Source organism: Homo sapiens, chromosome 4, assembly GCF_000001405.40.
Source record: "Homo sapiens chromosome 4, GRCh38.p14 Primary Assembly".
Taxonomy (NCBI): domain Eukaryota; kingdom Metazoa; phylum Chordata; class Mammalia; order Primates; family Hominidae; genus Homo; species Homo sapiens.
In genome coordinates, this window is record NC_000004.12 from 127,272,286 (window position 1) to 127,287,994 (window position 15,709).

The 15,709-nt window shown below is 36.5% G+C and overlaps 2 long non-coding RNA genes across 4 annotated transcripts in view; both read right to left on the reverse strand.

Moving 5' to 3' along the window:
• Positions 1-9,976, reverse strand: part of LOC107986312 (uncharacterized) — a 53,794-nt gene extending 43,818 nt beyond the window's left edge. The window contains exon 1 of the long non-coding RNA XR_001741826.1: positions 9,698-9,976. This is a non-coding gene — a long non-coding RNA (uncharacterized LOC107986312). The remainder of the gene's footprint in view (positions 1-9,697) is intronic.
• Positions 1-15,709, reverse strand: part of LOC102724210 (uncharacterized) — a 396,780-nt gene that overhangs the window by 198,510 nt on the left and 182,561 nt on the right. The window lies entirely within an intron of this gene.

A 15,709-nucleotide genomic window follows, 5' to 3' on the forward strand; every position in this document is an offset into this window, starting at 1 on the left:
AAATCCTTATGCTTAGCTCCTACAGCAGGCCATACCATTTGTGGTTGAGGTGCCACTATACCGCCATGTTTCCAGATAATAGGAACTCTTGTCGTACTTCTTATCATTTCTACCATCTGACCATTTTGTTTAGACCAGCTGAACATAGTGTGGCCATGGCACGCAGACTGAGAGGTGCAATTTAAGCTAACATCCCCTTAGGGGACCAATCAATAATGATTCCATAGGAATCATTGCACAGCACCTCTGCCTGTTCTGCAATGCAATCTTCCTAAACAAGTACATTCATTATTTCCGGCCACGTCCACTTCTGTTTACAAATAGGTTTTTGAGGGTGGTATGCCTCAATTATAGGAGCAGATTTATTATGGTAAATACTGAGATCAGAAAGCATGTATAACTGTTTCACAGAGTGATAACATCCAGGCATTATTGCCAGCCAAGATTGATAAATATGCCCAATAAGTATAATTGTTCTCTGTGCCAGTCCTTGTTGAAGGAACACTCATGGCAATGGTGATCACCACTATCATAGCTATCATTAAATTACTCATTGTGACTGGTTGTCCCACTTTCCTTAGATTTTCTTCTGCCATCTGTGACAGCTTCTTGATCTGTCCCCAGGTAGGTGGCTGTGTTTGACAGGTGTTGCTTGTGACAGTTGGGGTCTTCCTCAGCATTAGTCTCAACATGGCTGCAACTGGGGGGTCCTCAGGATCCTCCTGGAATCTCTTCCTCGGCATCTGGCTCATGATAAGGTTTCAGGTGTCTTGATGGTATCCAAATCAGCTACTGGTTCTGGCCTGGAGAAACACAAGCATAACCTCTACCCCAAGTTATTATTTTACCTACTTCCCAACTTTCTGTTATCGGATCTCTCCACCTAACCAGTTGTTCTGCTTCTGTCTTTGCAGCTGGTTTCTGTAGATGCTGTTCAGCTGCTGATAGCATCTGGCCTGTAGGCAGGCTCAAAAAATTTAAAGTCGATAATGCTAGATTCAATTGCATATGGGTTGTCCCATAGTCCCTATTTCCCCCTTTTTGCTTTTGCAACTGCTGTTTCAGGGAGAGATTCATTCTTTCCACTATGGCTTGTCCTTGAGAATTACATGGGATACCAGTAATGTGTTTAATATTCCATATAGAGAAAAATGTAGCTACAGCTTGGCTAGTATAGCCTGGGGCATTGTCCGTTTTAGTAGAAGCTGGAATGCGCATCACTGGAAAACACTGCAAAAGGTGACGTTTAACACGGACACAAGACTCTCCTGATGGCATGTAGCCCAGACAAAGTGGGAAAATGTATCTACACATACATGTACATAAGCTAATCTCCCAGATGAGGGAACATGTGTGACATCCATTTGCCAGAGAGAATTAGGTTCCAATCCTTGAGGATTAACTCCTCCTGTAAAAGATGAGGAATGCACCATTTGGCAAGTTGGGCATCGCTAGATAATAGCTTTAGCTTCCTTCTAGGTAATGCTGTATCTGCTTTTGAGACCAGAGGCATTAACATGGGTTAAATTGTGAAAGTGTCTGGCATTAGACATTGCAGTAGCAACTAGGCCATCAGCCATTTGATTCCCTGCACTCAAAGGTCCTGGGAGAGGTGTATGAGCCCTAATATGAGTAATGTAAAAAGGGTGCACTCTACTCCTAACTGTTGCTTGCAATTGGATAAATAAAAACATCAGTTATTCATCTGTATGAAATTGTAACTGAGCATTTTCAACTAACTGTGTAGAATGAACCATGTATGAAGAATCAGAAATCACATTAATAGGCATATCAAAAACAGTCAATACCTCAATTACAGCTACAAGCTCCGCTTTTTGAGCTGAAGTATAGGGCGTTGGAAAAACTTTACCTTTCGAGGCAGAATAAGTAGCTTTACCATTACTAGACCCATCTGTGAAGGCATTTTCAGCACCTTCAATTGGTTTAAATTTAGTTATTTTAGGGAGAATCCAATTAATTTCAAAAATTGAAACAACTTTGTTTTAGGAAAATGGTTATCGAGAATACCCACACAGTCAGCTAAATGGGTTGGCCAAGTAAGACTATTTACAAAAGCTTGATGTATTTGTGCCTTTGTGAGAGGGACAATAATTTTTCCAGGATCATATCCATGTAATTTAACAATCTGAGTTCTCCCAGTTCCTATCACAGTAGCGATTTGATCCAAATAAGGAGTTAAGAGTCCGTGAATTGGTAAGTGGAAGAAAAAGCCATGCTACTAAGTCCTGCTCTTGGACAATAACAACAGTAGGTGAATGCTGAGTTGAAAAAATTAGCAAATCTAGAGTCTTTTCTTGACCTATTCTATTTATTTGAGTCTTATGCACTTGTTTCTCCATTAGCTGTAACTCTGCCTCAGCCTCCTTTGTTAATTGTTGAGAGCTAGTGAGACTAGGATCTCCTCTAAGGACAGAAAATAGATTACTCATGGCATAGGTAGGAATGCCTAGAGCAGATCGTATCCAGTTGATGTTCCCTAGTAATTTCTGAAAGTCATTTAATGTTTTTAATTGATCCCTATGTACGGTTACTTTCTGTGGCACTATTGTAGTGTCACTTACTAAGGTCCCCAAGTAGGAGTAAGGAGTAGTAGTCTGAATTTTGTCAGGAGCTATAATTAAACCAGCATGAGAAACCAAGTTTTGCGAGTGATCATAACATTGGAGTAATATTTCTCGAGTGGGGCAGCACAAAGTATATGGTCCATATAATGAATAATGTAACATTGTGAAAATTTTTTATCAGCAGGTTCAATTGCTTGCCCTACATAAGTCTGGCAAATTGTTGGACCATTTAACATGCCTTGTGGCAACACTTTCCAATGAAAACACTTAGCAGGCTGCAGGTTGTTTACTGCAGGAATTGTAAATGCAAACCATTCACAGTCTTGCTCAGCTAAGGGGATAGTAAAGAAACAGTCTTTTAAATCTATGACTATTAAAGACCAATTTTTTGGAATCATAGCAAGAGAAGGCAGTCCTGGCTGTAATGCCCCCATAGGGTGTATAACTGAATTAATGCCTCTTAAGTCAGTTAACATTCTCCATTTACCTGATTTTTTCTTAATAACAAAGACTGGAAAATTCTAGGGGGAAAAATGTTGGAGCTATGTGTCCTTTTTCTAATTGTTCAGTAACTAAGTCCTCTAAAGCCTCCAGTTTCTCTTTTACTCAGTGGCCATTGTTCTATCCAAATCGGCTTACCCTTTAACCATTTTAAAGGTATAGGTTCTGGAGGCTTAACAATGGCCGCCATCAAAAATGATACCCTAAACCCTGGCAGGAACTTTGTCTTTCCGCTTGAAGTGGTTCCTTCAAACCTCACAAATTGTTTCCTAGTCCCATACCAGGGACATACCCCATTTCATGCATCATATGTTGACTTTGAGGGCTGTATAATTGCTCTGGAATAAGAACTTGTGCTCCCCGTTGTTGCAATAAATATCTTCCCCATAAATTTATAGGTACAGAGTTATAATTGGTTGAATAGTCCCAGGCTGTCCATCAGGTCCTTCACAATGCAAAATACAACTACTCTGATAAAATATAACTACTTGGATATACTTCAGGGGCTTTACCAACTCCAACTATGTTAAATTGAGCGGGTTGAATTGGCCATGCGGATGGCCAGTGCTGTAGAGAAATGATTGAAATGTCCACTCCTGTATCTACCAAACCTTTAAATTTCTTTCCCTGAATAGTTATTTCACAGGTAGGACGTTTATCAGTACTTTGATTTACCCAATAAGCTGCTTTGCCTTGTTTATTTGTGCTTCCAAATCGCTGTTCGTTTAATTTCACTTTTCCCCCATTTCCACATACAGCATAATCAGGAGCTGTGCTATACGCTCTCCTAGCTCTGCTTTCCAGGGAACAGAAGTAGATATAACAGTTTGAATTTCCCCATTGTAATCTGAATCAATGACTCCTGTATGTACTTGCACTCCTTTTAAATTTAAACTAGATCTACCTAGAAGTAATCCTGCTGTCCCCACTGGCATCATCTGACTGGAGACAGCAACATTCTTTAACAGTCCCATTACAAAAAGAAAACCTGGTCCATATTGATTAATAGCTTGTTTAAATTCTTGGAGTAGTTTAAAAGGAAAAGGCTCAAATGTAGCTATAATATTTCCCTATTGATCTAGGGGGTGTATTCTAACAGGGAACTGCCAAGCCTCTGTATCACCCTCTCTTCTAGCTTGCTGGATTCCTGCCTGAAAAGAACTGAGAGCAGTCGCTTGAGGCACTGCCCGAACAGTCACTGGGGCAACTACTTTTCACCCAGTGTCCTCCAGAAAAGAAAGATCTGGAGGGTCAAGCTACTCTTTTTTCTTCAAAATAATGAGAGGGTGCAGAAGGGTTGGGACAAACCTCTCCCTCCTTTGCCACTTTAGCTTTAGCTGGCAAACAAACCTGCTCTGTCACCTCTTATATTACCTCATTATACTCTCCTTCCTCCTCATCATTAGTGTGAAAAGGTTCCAAGGTAGAACGAACCAGAGCCCACGCTTGTCCCATTGTTACCCTGATGCTTCTGAGCTCTGCTTCTTACTCACCACAGGGATTGCTTAAGAGTACTTGGGTGTCCCCCAGCATAGTTCCACATTCTCCAACCATCACTCCGGTGACCCTTTGACCTGGGTTTGAGCCCCACATATGGGCATCACTTGCCAAGGCCAGCTCAGTCATGGAGACCCTAACCCAGTGGCGCTACAGGAATTAAAGACACACACATAGAAATATGGAGTGTAGAGTGGGAAATCAGGCAGCTGACAGCCTTCAGAACTGAGAGCCATGAACAGTTTTACCCACGTTTACTGACAGCAAGCCAGTGATAATCATTGTTTCTACAGATTATAGGTTAACTAAAATGGGAAACAAAGGGATGGGCCGAAACAAAGGGATGGGCTCCAGCTAGTTATCTGCAGCAGGAACATGTCCTTAAGGCACAGATGGCTCATGCTATTGTTGGTGGCTTAGGAATGCCTTAAGCAGTTTTCCACCCTGGGTGGGCCAGGTGTTCCTTGCCCTCATTCCAGTAAACCCACAACCTTCAGCGTGGGTGTCATAGCCAGCACAAACATGTCACAGTGCTGCAGAAATTTTGTTTATGGCCAGTTTTGGGGCCAGTTTATCGCCAGATTTGGGGGCCTGTTCCCAACACTAAAACTATGAATATCATCATATATAGATCACAAAACAATACTGAATTAAAAAGCAGATTGTAGAATAATATGTGAACCAAATGCATATACATACAAATATTTCTAATATGCACAAAGCACAATTATACTATTTATAAATGCATTAAGATAGTTAAAGTATCAAAACATGAATCATAAAGATACATCCTAAATTCATGATAGTGACTGACTCTGGGGAAGAAAACAAAAGAGCATTCTTTTAATAATAAAATTGAAAGAAAAAATGAAAACAATTTATCTTTGTTGGTTCCAGATGATATTATTTTGTTCTTTGTAACTTTCTGTATCGATTACATTTTTCACAAAATATGCCACTTGAGTACCTGGTCACCATACCCTGACAACCTAAATATGAGTAAGACATGCTCCTTATTCAAAAGAAACTTACAGTGAGTTCTTGATGCATAAACACCTTAAAATTCAGTGGATTAAAAGAGCACTCATTTATTCTTCTGGATTTGGGCTATGGAAAAACAGTAATGCATGAGGCCTTTTGAAGCCCAGGTTTGTAACTGGCATGAAGTCACTTTACCGAATTTTGTTGGACAAAGCAAGTTACAATGACCATGCCCAGCTTCAAGGAGTGGGAAAGATGGACCTGCACCCTAGTTTCTGCACCCACTTCTTCCATTGTACTTCCATTGTGTTCTCCTAGTCCATCTTCACTCTCCCTTTTTGGTTTTAAGCTTTCTATTGGCGTATCATTTCTTTCTAAAGTAGAATTGCAGTATCTTTCAGCATGAAGATTTTGGTTTCTAAAAATTATAAAGAGATTCCTGAGAGGGCAGTTAATACTGAAAGTAGCTCAAAAAGAGTCACTTTTTTCAAAGTTAGATATTTCCGAAGGAAAATGCATAAAAGCAGCCTTATTTCCTTTCTTCATTCAGCTTTAAATGAAACAAAATTAAATTTATTTTAAATTTCATAATGTTTCCAATTAAAGTATCATGTTAACTTAGAATAAAAGCAGTGAGGATCCTGTAAATGTCGCTCCACTGATTCTTGTTCTTGCTATAAAAAGTTTAAGTAAACAAATGAGGGAAATGGCTATAATAAAGGAAAGAAACAACAAAATCTTAGGTTTGTATGGCTTCTTAGGTGGACAGTTATTGGTTTATTGCCACTTTATAGATGAGGTACAAAGAGATTATAAACAAAATATCTTCAGAATTAAGATATTAAGGTAGAAAAATATCCTTAAGTATTAAGGAACAGAGAGATTAAGTGACATGCCTATTTAAGTGGAAATACCAGTCTTTGACTTGAGTGTTTTGACTTCTCTCCCAGAATTCTTTGCACACTACCAAGCTGTAACAATAGATGAATTTGCATTTTTCTTCCTGAGTTGAAGAAAACAGTAGTAAAGAAGGATTGCCATCTATCTGAACAAGCACGACTGAAAAGACCAATGAATTTGGTAATTTTCCAAAACTCTTAGCTTGAGAAAGATTATTTTAATCAATACATAATTTTTTCGACTTAACATTTATTTTTACCAAAATTTTCATCTCACTCATATCTGTCTCTAATTTTTATTTAATCATCTTATTTCCATAAATATTTGTATTCTCATTAGCTGTTGCTTTTCTCATAAGCCATACTGTTATCTGAGACCATCCTAAGGGGTCTATTTCAGTATGTTTGGCAATACTATGATTTCCAATAACTCACCAAAAAAAGTAAAAGAGCTCATCAATTTTAGTCATCTAGTGAAGAAGATAATTTCGAAGACGTCTTTTCTAAGTTCTTCTTATAGTTGAGCCTTCCAATCCTATGATGATTAGTTTTATGTGTCAGTTTGACTGGGCCACAGGGTCCCCAGATAACTGATTAAATATTATTTCTGGGTGTGTCTGTGAAGGTGTTTCTGAATGAAATTAACATCTGAATCAGTAAACTGAGTAAAGCAGATTGCTGTCCCCAGTGTGGGTGTGCCTTATCCAATCCGTTGAAGGCCTGAATAAAATAAAAGGCTAAAAAAGCAAGAATTCTTTCCCTCTGTCTGACTGTCTCTGAGCTGGGACATTGGTCTTCAGACTTAGATTCAAACTGGAACTTATACTGACTCTCCTGTTCTCAGGCCTTTGGACTCAAACTGAAACTATATCATTAGTTCTCCTGAGTCTAGACCTCTCCATAACCAGTTGATCCAATTGCTTAATTTATATGTGTGAATATTGTGTGTGTGTGTGTGTGTGTGTGTGTGTTTGTGTGTGTATCCTATTGGCACTGTTTCTCCTAAGAACCCTAATACAAGTCCCAAAACGGAATCCTGCACAATTCCATAACTGACTACTCAAGTAACCAATCAGCCAATATCCTGGGCTATCATTTTACTTGCATAAAACTTTTGAGTATTTCAATAACTGTCAAAAAGCTGATAATTTGGTAGTTAGTAGTAATATAGGATGATAGAATATTAGGACTAGAAAAACCTAGAACCTCTTGAAACCTCTTACAGGTTATCTAAATTGAACCCCTTCATTGTAAACATAAGGAAAAAAATTATAAAAGTTAAGTGACTTACCTGGCCAAAGTCAATTAAAGACAAAACTGTCAACCAGACATGTCTTCAGACTGTCTTTATCCAGTCTTCTTTCCACTCCACTAAATTGTTGTTTTTATAGCTGTAACTACAGTTTGCCCTGAAGTCTCTGCACTTTATCTCATGGTCTCTCATTATGAACATAAGACACTAGAAGATGGCTAGCTGAACGCAGGCAGGGGTGTAACCTACTCCCCTGCAGAATGGAATAAAGTTTAACCATATGTCCTCCCAAGTAGCGGTCAGCCAGTGGTACATAGGTACTAATCACTAATATTGAATGATCACACTCATAAGACCAACTTCCCAGAACAAAATTATGGTAACTATAGGTAAAGAACAGAATATATTGTACTGCCTCTACATTTATCTAGCCTCAAAAAATTTTTCCAAATATTTAAGGGACAAAGTCCTTCTTATTGGGGTAATTTTACAGTAAGTCATAAAAGGAAGTATTAAGAAAATTAATTAATTCCATAATTCAAAATCGGAAGCAAGTGCTTGGGATGGATAATTAAGAGCCATTTACACAGGCAAACTCCCTGAAAGACAAAACATGCAGAAACTGAGGAATATGAAGGAACTATTCACATACTGAACACCAAAAGAGACTTCATGCTATTCAGAGAGGGGATCTGGATCTGAGAATACATCACAGATTACCAACTGGATACTGTCTATTTGATACTCTAGATTCAAATACTATTAGGTTGGTGCAAAAGTACTTGTGGTTTTTGCAAGCTCATTTACCCAGAATTTCCAGGACTTAACCTACTTAAAATTATCAGATACCCAGAATTTAGATACTAACTTCAAAAGATATCAACAATTTAAAAAATATGACCCTTCTCCAGCATCTTCCAGATGCATTCTCTTAATTTAGATTCCATTAAATGAAGTAATGAGCAAATACACACACACTCACATATACACACACACAAACATATATACACAATAACAGTTCATCATAAGGTCACTGAGATAATGTCATCAGCACACACTCCAAATTATACTTCAACTATTATTATAGATTTTCATTTAAAAATTATTTATAGCAATTTCCTTTGTTTGCATGCTTCTGATGTATGGTGTCTGAGTCAAAAGATAAAAGAATCCCACTACTTCTACATTAAATTTGAAAAGTAGTATTAATTTCCTGTAAATTTGTGTTCATCATATTGTTGTCTTACAAAGCATTGGCAACAACCAATGATCAAAAAGAAACGGGATTTTTTTGCTGGAGAAATAGAATTAGGCCCTGAATCTTACCACCTCCACACAACACACATACATCTGTCCTCCACACACACATCTACACATATCCTAACACTCTCTAAGGCTAACCCTCACTCCAATTTCCTCTTGTAAATGCCAAGATGGAGGCAGAGTTCAGTGTGATTTCTGTGGTATTTGTTTTTAATAACTGAACTCAAACCTACCTTAATTATGGCCACCATAAATGAATTAAATTAGAAGAATTTGCTGAGAAAACCAATTTTCTGATAGTCCTAAATGTGAGTATTACTAAGCCCACTAAAAAGCCTTCATGTTGGTATAATCTTCTACTTGCATCGTCTAGAAAGGAACACAGAATAAAGAACTCATTTTAAAAATAGTTGATCCAGTGTAGTTTACAACATATCCTGAGTAGATGAGTGTGGCGAGGGGGCATACTGGACACTGGGACCAACTACATCCAGAAGTGAAAAATGGCCACAGATTATACCTAAGTAGATAATCCACAGATGAACGACAGATAATTAGTTATACTGATAATAATGTAGCAACTACTTATTTCTCTAGTTTAATAATATTTGTACATAAAACTCACCAGCAAAGGAGAACATACACGTTGAGTGCAGCTACAAGCGACCATTTCACAAAAATGCTTTCAATGATTAAAAAAAAAACCTATCTTCACTTACCTACTCTCACTCTTCTCAAGATACTTCCCCACAACTTCAGATTCTCACTCACCAAATGCCCTTCGTATCACACGTATTCATCCTACTTAAACTGGCTGAGTAAGGCCGTATTTTATGTGTATTAGGTAATTCTTTCCTATTATACGTGCCAAAAAATATGTTTTCTTTTGTCTTAGGTTAAATTTCTTCAGGTTAGATTCTAGTTGGGAGAGATCACTCAAACTGCTATATTTATTTATTCTGACAACTCAAAAATAATTTTACTTGCTACAAAGTGGAAATATAATTTAAACATCTGCTGTTGAAACACCCATCTTTGATACAAGGCATACTCATTGGCGCAGTAATAAGCACTCCCAAAAATAAATACATAACACACACTCTAAACACATTTGTACCACACGTTGACAAACAAAAGGAACAGATTTCCTTTTGGATCATGGATAAATGTATCATTTCCGTGGAAAACAAGGCTCAGCCAATTTGTCAAAATTATTGAGTTCAAAGTAGAAAGTTTTTTTTTTTTAGCCTACTGGATTTTTGATATTTGAACTTAATATAATAAAGAGGCCTTAAATAGCCTTCTTGTTCATGTTGTCACTCTGAAAATAAGAACTATAAGCACCTGCTTTTAAATTGCTCCCCAAATGTTCCCAGAAAGCCAGAGAGATCTAAGCCAAAGAGCTCACCCCTTGCCTTCTATCTCATTCATGAATTTCTAGAGCTCCAACTAAAATTGAAAGTAATTTACATCTGCAATATTCAGACTGAATTAAATTTCATGTTCAATCTACACCCCCCAGAAATGTTGAAGTTATGAAGGCATTATGAACTTATAATACCAGGCAAATTCCAGGCAGCCCTGTGACCTCATTTCAGGTGGAATTCTTAAGTTAATGAAGCTAAGAGTACTTGCTCTCTACCATGTTGCAAATAACTAGATCCAAGCCCTGGACTCTACTATGGCTTCATCTGTAGCTCTGCCACTTATCTTCGAAAATCAGCAAGAGATAAAATTCCTTTTTTAACATTTAATAAGCAGCAAGCATACATTCAAAAGAACTGTCTTCTATACATTATCCTGGAAAGTCTTCATATCTTTTAAAAGAAAAGTGATTTCACAGATGCGCTTGAATAAATAAAGGAAATTTTCAGTTGCCTGAAAACAACATCTCTTTAGTCAATGAACCAGAAACAATGACTGCTTGAAAAAAACATGGCCTGTTCAGTTTTGAAAGTCCTGTTAACCACTCCACTGAGCTCTACTCTAGAATCAAAATCTTAAGTCTTTCCTCTTCCTGTCATGTATGGTCGAAACAAAAATATTCATAAAAACACTTTATCTTTTTTTATATGAATGGGGTTCATATTTAAATTTTTATATGAATGGGGTTCATATTTAAATTTAAATAACACTCATTTTGTTTTAACATTTTATTGTCATTTTAACTTTTACATTAATCCATAGATTTACCCTTTGCTTATTATTATTAGCTTATGTGTTCAGATTTCTTAGGGGTGTCATGTGACTTTTTAAATTTAATATAAATTAGAAATATTCCATATTCTCCACCACAGTCAGAAGTCCACATTGTTACTTAGACGTCTCCATCTCTCCTGTCAAACAACCAAATCAAGTCTACAGGTGTGAGCTTGAGAAGCAGCCTTAGTGATCCCAAACTGCACTCCCCTATCTGCTTGGTGCTCAGAGCTCTACTCCCCTTTAGTTTCCCCCAATTCAGCTTTGACCCCTGGTCTTCTTACTGTGTGGTTCTTGGTCATTGCTAAATGACTTAAAGCTATTTATTCGTCGATCTTCTCCTTCATCCTGAGTGAGTCTAAACTCTCACTCCTTCTGCTGGCTCCTCCATTTCCAGTTTGAAGAGATCTTGTTATTTTACATGATTTTTAGATAACTAGGATGACTAATAGTTACTTCAGTTCTTACAGAGATAGGCTTATTTTTAGCAAATAGCCAAAAAAATATAAATTATATGTTGAGTAAGCTGTCTATACACACATATATGGCTTTTTCCAAGCCTCAATCAGTCCATTGAGCTATCACAGCCTACATTTTATATATAAACATGTGCCATCTTGGCTCACTGCAACCTCTGCCTCCCAGGTTCAAGTGATTCTCATGCCTCAGCCTACCAAGTAGCTGGGATTACAGGTGTGTGCTACCATGCCCAGTTAATTATTGTATTTTTAGTAGAGACAGGGGTTTCACCATGTTGGCCAGGCTGGTCTGAAATGCCTGACCTCAAGTGATCTGCTGGCCTCAGCCTCCCAAAGTGCTGGTATTACAGGTGTGAGCCACCATGCCTTGTCAAAAAAAATTTTTAAAGATTTTCCTAAAATACATTTTCTATGTGATTCAGCCTAAATGGGGTAAATAAAACACATCCAGTATTATCCAGGATTTCACCACACATACACACAAAGTAAGGGACAGATTTTTGGCTTCATGACAGCTACTAGCAAATTTCCTAATCTCTCATTACTTATTTCCCCAAAATGTGGTTCACTAACATTCCATGAGAAAATGCTCAATTTAAATCTTAAACTTAAGGTTTGTATCAATCTTCATTGCCATTTTTAAGGGTCTGGCTTATTTGATTTCAGTAATGTGGTAATAACTATGCACAGCACAGCCAATTTAGAACCAATTTTTATAATTTTTCTTTTTCCAATTTAAGATCACTAGGTATAAACTGAGTTATTCTAAGTGGAAAGAGTCTAACATCAGTTGCTATTTAAATCCTGACATACTGTCATCTGTTGCTTTATAATTTGTGCCAAATTACTTCAGCCCAAAGCAAAGCGCATGAAATTCTCATTATTAAATTTGCATATACTGAAGTTATTACTAAACTTTGAAACATTAAATATGATATGGTTACAGTTTAGTCCAAACTTATGAACATTGGTAAGAACAGAAAAGAAGTTAATATATCATCTATAGATATAAATATAAAGTGAAATATATTCCTGCTATAATCCACTACTAATGGAGAACAGAAAATTCAAACAGGCCCATTAACAACAAAGACATTATAAAAGGTGGAATCCTCTTCAAAATATCCAACAGAAGCCAGAGTTTATTAAAAATTAGGTATTCACCAAGCAACTATTCATTGTATGAACTTGAATTTGCCCAACCTTGGGTGTTGGAGGTTCTCAGTATCATAATAAGATTAATTTTTTATAAACACATCAACACATATTCAAATAAACATTTTTGTCTCCTAATGTTTCATATAAGGATAATCTTGGTAGGTCATAAACTTATTTCAAAAATATAACTTAAATGAGTTTTGTAACTCATGTAGAATGACCTTCATAGTCAATAGAAATTCAAATATTATTACTTTGAAGTCACCTCTTAAAAATCTTGCAGCCATAAAATTATAAAGATAAAATATATCTTTAAATGTTCTAGTCACATACCTCATGTTATAGATGAAAAAGGAAAGAAAGTCTAAAGAAGATAAATAATTTGCTTAATATTATAGACTTAGTTATACTTGTAAAACCAGGACTATTATCTAGATAGAACTAATTACTAGATCCAGAAATAAATTATAATATTACCTGAAGCTCTTTAATATCTCTTATTTCTGCATAAAAAATATTTGCTAGGTTAAACAAGCAACAGATTTCATTTGATTAACAGTGATCTTCAAATAATTTTCAAACTCACACAACTGAAGATTATTAACAAAAATACCCACAAAGGTAATCAAATACATGTAATAAAATAATAAATTTTTGCCTTGAATTTGAAGATACGCAAATTCAAATTTTCAAAAGTACTGAGAAGAGTAAAATGAGATGCCCTTTCTTTGCTTGTCAGAGTCTATATCAAAACTTTTTCTTGAAATGCTTTTGAAAAGGCCATAACTGATTATAAATCAGACTACCAATTTATCTAGAATTAAATTGATGTGGAAATTGACTTCAAGGCATATATTACTAAAGAAATAATCCAAGAAACTTACAAATATTTATCTACAAAAGTGTTCCTCACAATGTATAATGGCAAAGAAGAAGAATGAGGAAGAGGAGGAGGAGGAGGAAGAGGAGGTAGAGGAGAAAGAGGAGAAGGAGAAGAAGAAATTTAAATGACCATCAAAAAGAAAATAATTATGGAAGAGTCATATGATAAAATATTATGCAGCCATTAAAAATTATGTTTTTAGAATAATTTTTAGTGACAAGGCAATAAAGAATCACAATACTACAATACATTTTAAAACCCAGGTATCAAATAATCATACAATGTGATGCAATTTTACCATATATGTTTATAAAAATGATAAATAGAAAACAACATATATAAAAATATTAGCAGTGGTTATCTCTGGGTAATAGAGGTATAGATGATATTCCTCAATCTTATTCTTTCTATATTTTTCCAGTTGTTTGCAATGAACACGGGCTATTCTTAGAAACAGAAATAGCATTGGGAGATATACCTAATGCTAGATGACGAGTTAGTGGGTGCAGCGCACCAGCATGGCACATGTATACATATGTAACTAACCTGCACAATGTGCACATGTACCCTAAAACTTAAAGTATAATTAAAAAAAAAAAAGAAAAGAAAAAAAAAAAAGAAATAGAAATACAAATTTTTAAAGGCAAGGGAATCTGAAAGCACCATTTTATAGCACAATTGTAGTCCCATTCCTCCGTCAATAGAGTCTGTATGCTGTACTCTCTAAGATCCCTGTCTCAGTTTTGCTTATTACTTATCCCAACCAGCACTTCCTCCTCCCACACCTTCCATTTGTTTGTTTATTAATATAGTCTCGACCTTAGGATGCACAGAAGAGAAAGTTAAATGTTTTTAATATTCTTAAGTGTATCTCAAAATAAGCACATAAATTCCAGCTTGGAGTTAAATTATGAGGTCCCAAACCTCTGAGCCAAAATGTCAGTAATGCATTTCTTAGTAATTTGTTACTGATAAAGGAAGTGAATGCTCAGTTTTCAAATGAAAGAATACTTATCCACAGAAATAGGGAAAGGTAGAAGCTATTGGAAGTAAAATTCTCCTTTGACATTAGCTTGAGCTTAATGCATAGAGTCTTTAGGGAGTCATTCTGATTCCTCTGTGTAATGGGACATAAAGTTATTACTAACTCTGTATTAATACCCCAAATATAAATACACTGGGATATGATTTAGATGTTTTGTCCCTTCCAAATCTCATGTTGAAATGTGACCGCCAATGTTGGAGGTGGGCCTACTGGGAAGTGTTTGGGTCATGAGTAGGGACCCTCATGAATGTCCTGTCCTCATGGTAATGAGTGAGCTCTCACTCTATGAGTTCACACAAGCTCACACAAGCTCTGGTTCTTCAAAAGAGCCTGGTACTTCCTCCCTCATTCTCTTGCGCCCTCTCACCATGTGACGCGCCTGCTCCCCCTTCATCTTCCATTGTGATTATAAGCTTCTGAGGCCCTAATCAAAAGTAGATGCCAGCCAGCACTATGCTTCTTATACAGACCACAGAACCTTGAGCCAAATAAACCTCTTTTCTTTATAAATAACCCAGCCTCGGGTACATTATAGCAACACAAAACAGATTAACACATACCGGCTTGACAAAACATTGTCAAAAATATCTAGGACTACAAAGAAATTAATTTACATGCACTCTTCATGAAACCCTACCAAAATAACACCTGGTGGAGACTGGATGTTTAAAAAGGATTTCAGTTAACCTCATGTCTAAAAATCACATTGTTATTCTGAGTAAAATAAGCAATTACTCTGCATAACCTAACAGCCAGAAATTTATTGGACTAATGGTTATACTTGATTTTGAAAAAAAAGACATAACAAGATATTCTCATTACTCCACTAACTTGCAGGAAAGTATTTGTTAGTTCCCAGTCACATAAGGCACACAATATTTATCCTGGCATTCCAAGCCTTTCCCAGTTTTAGACACTGGGGACTGATGCACTCTAAAATAAATTAGTAGTCTGATTTACAATCAGC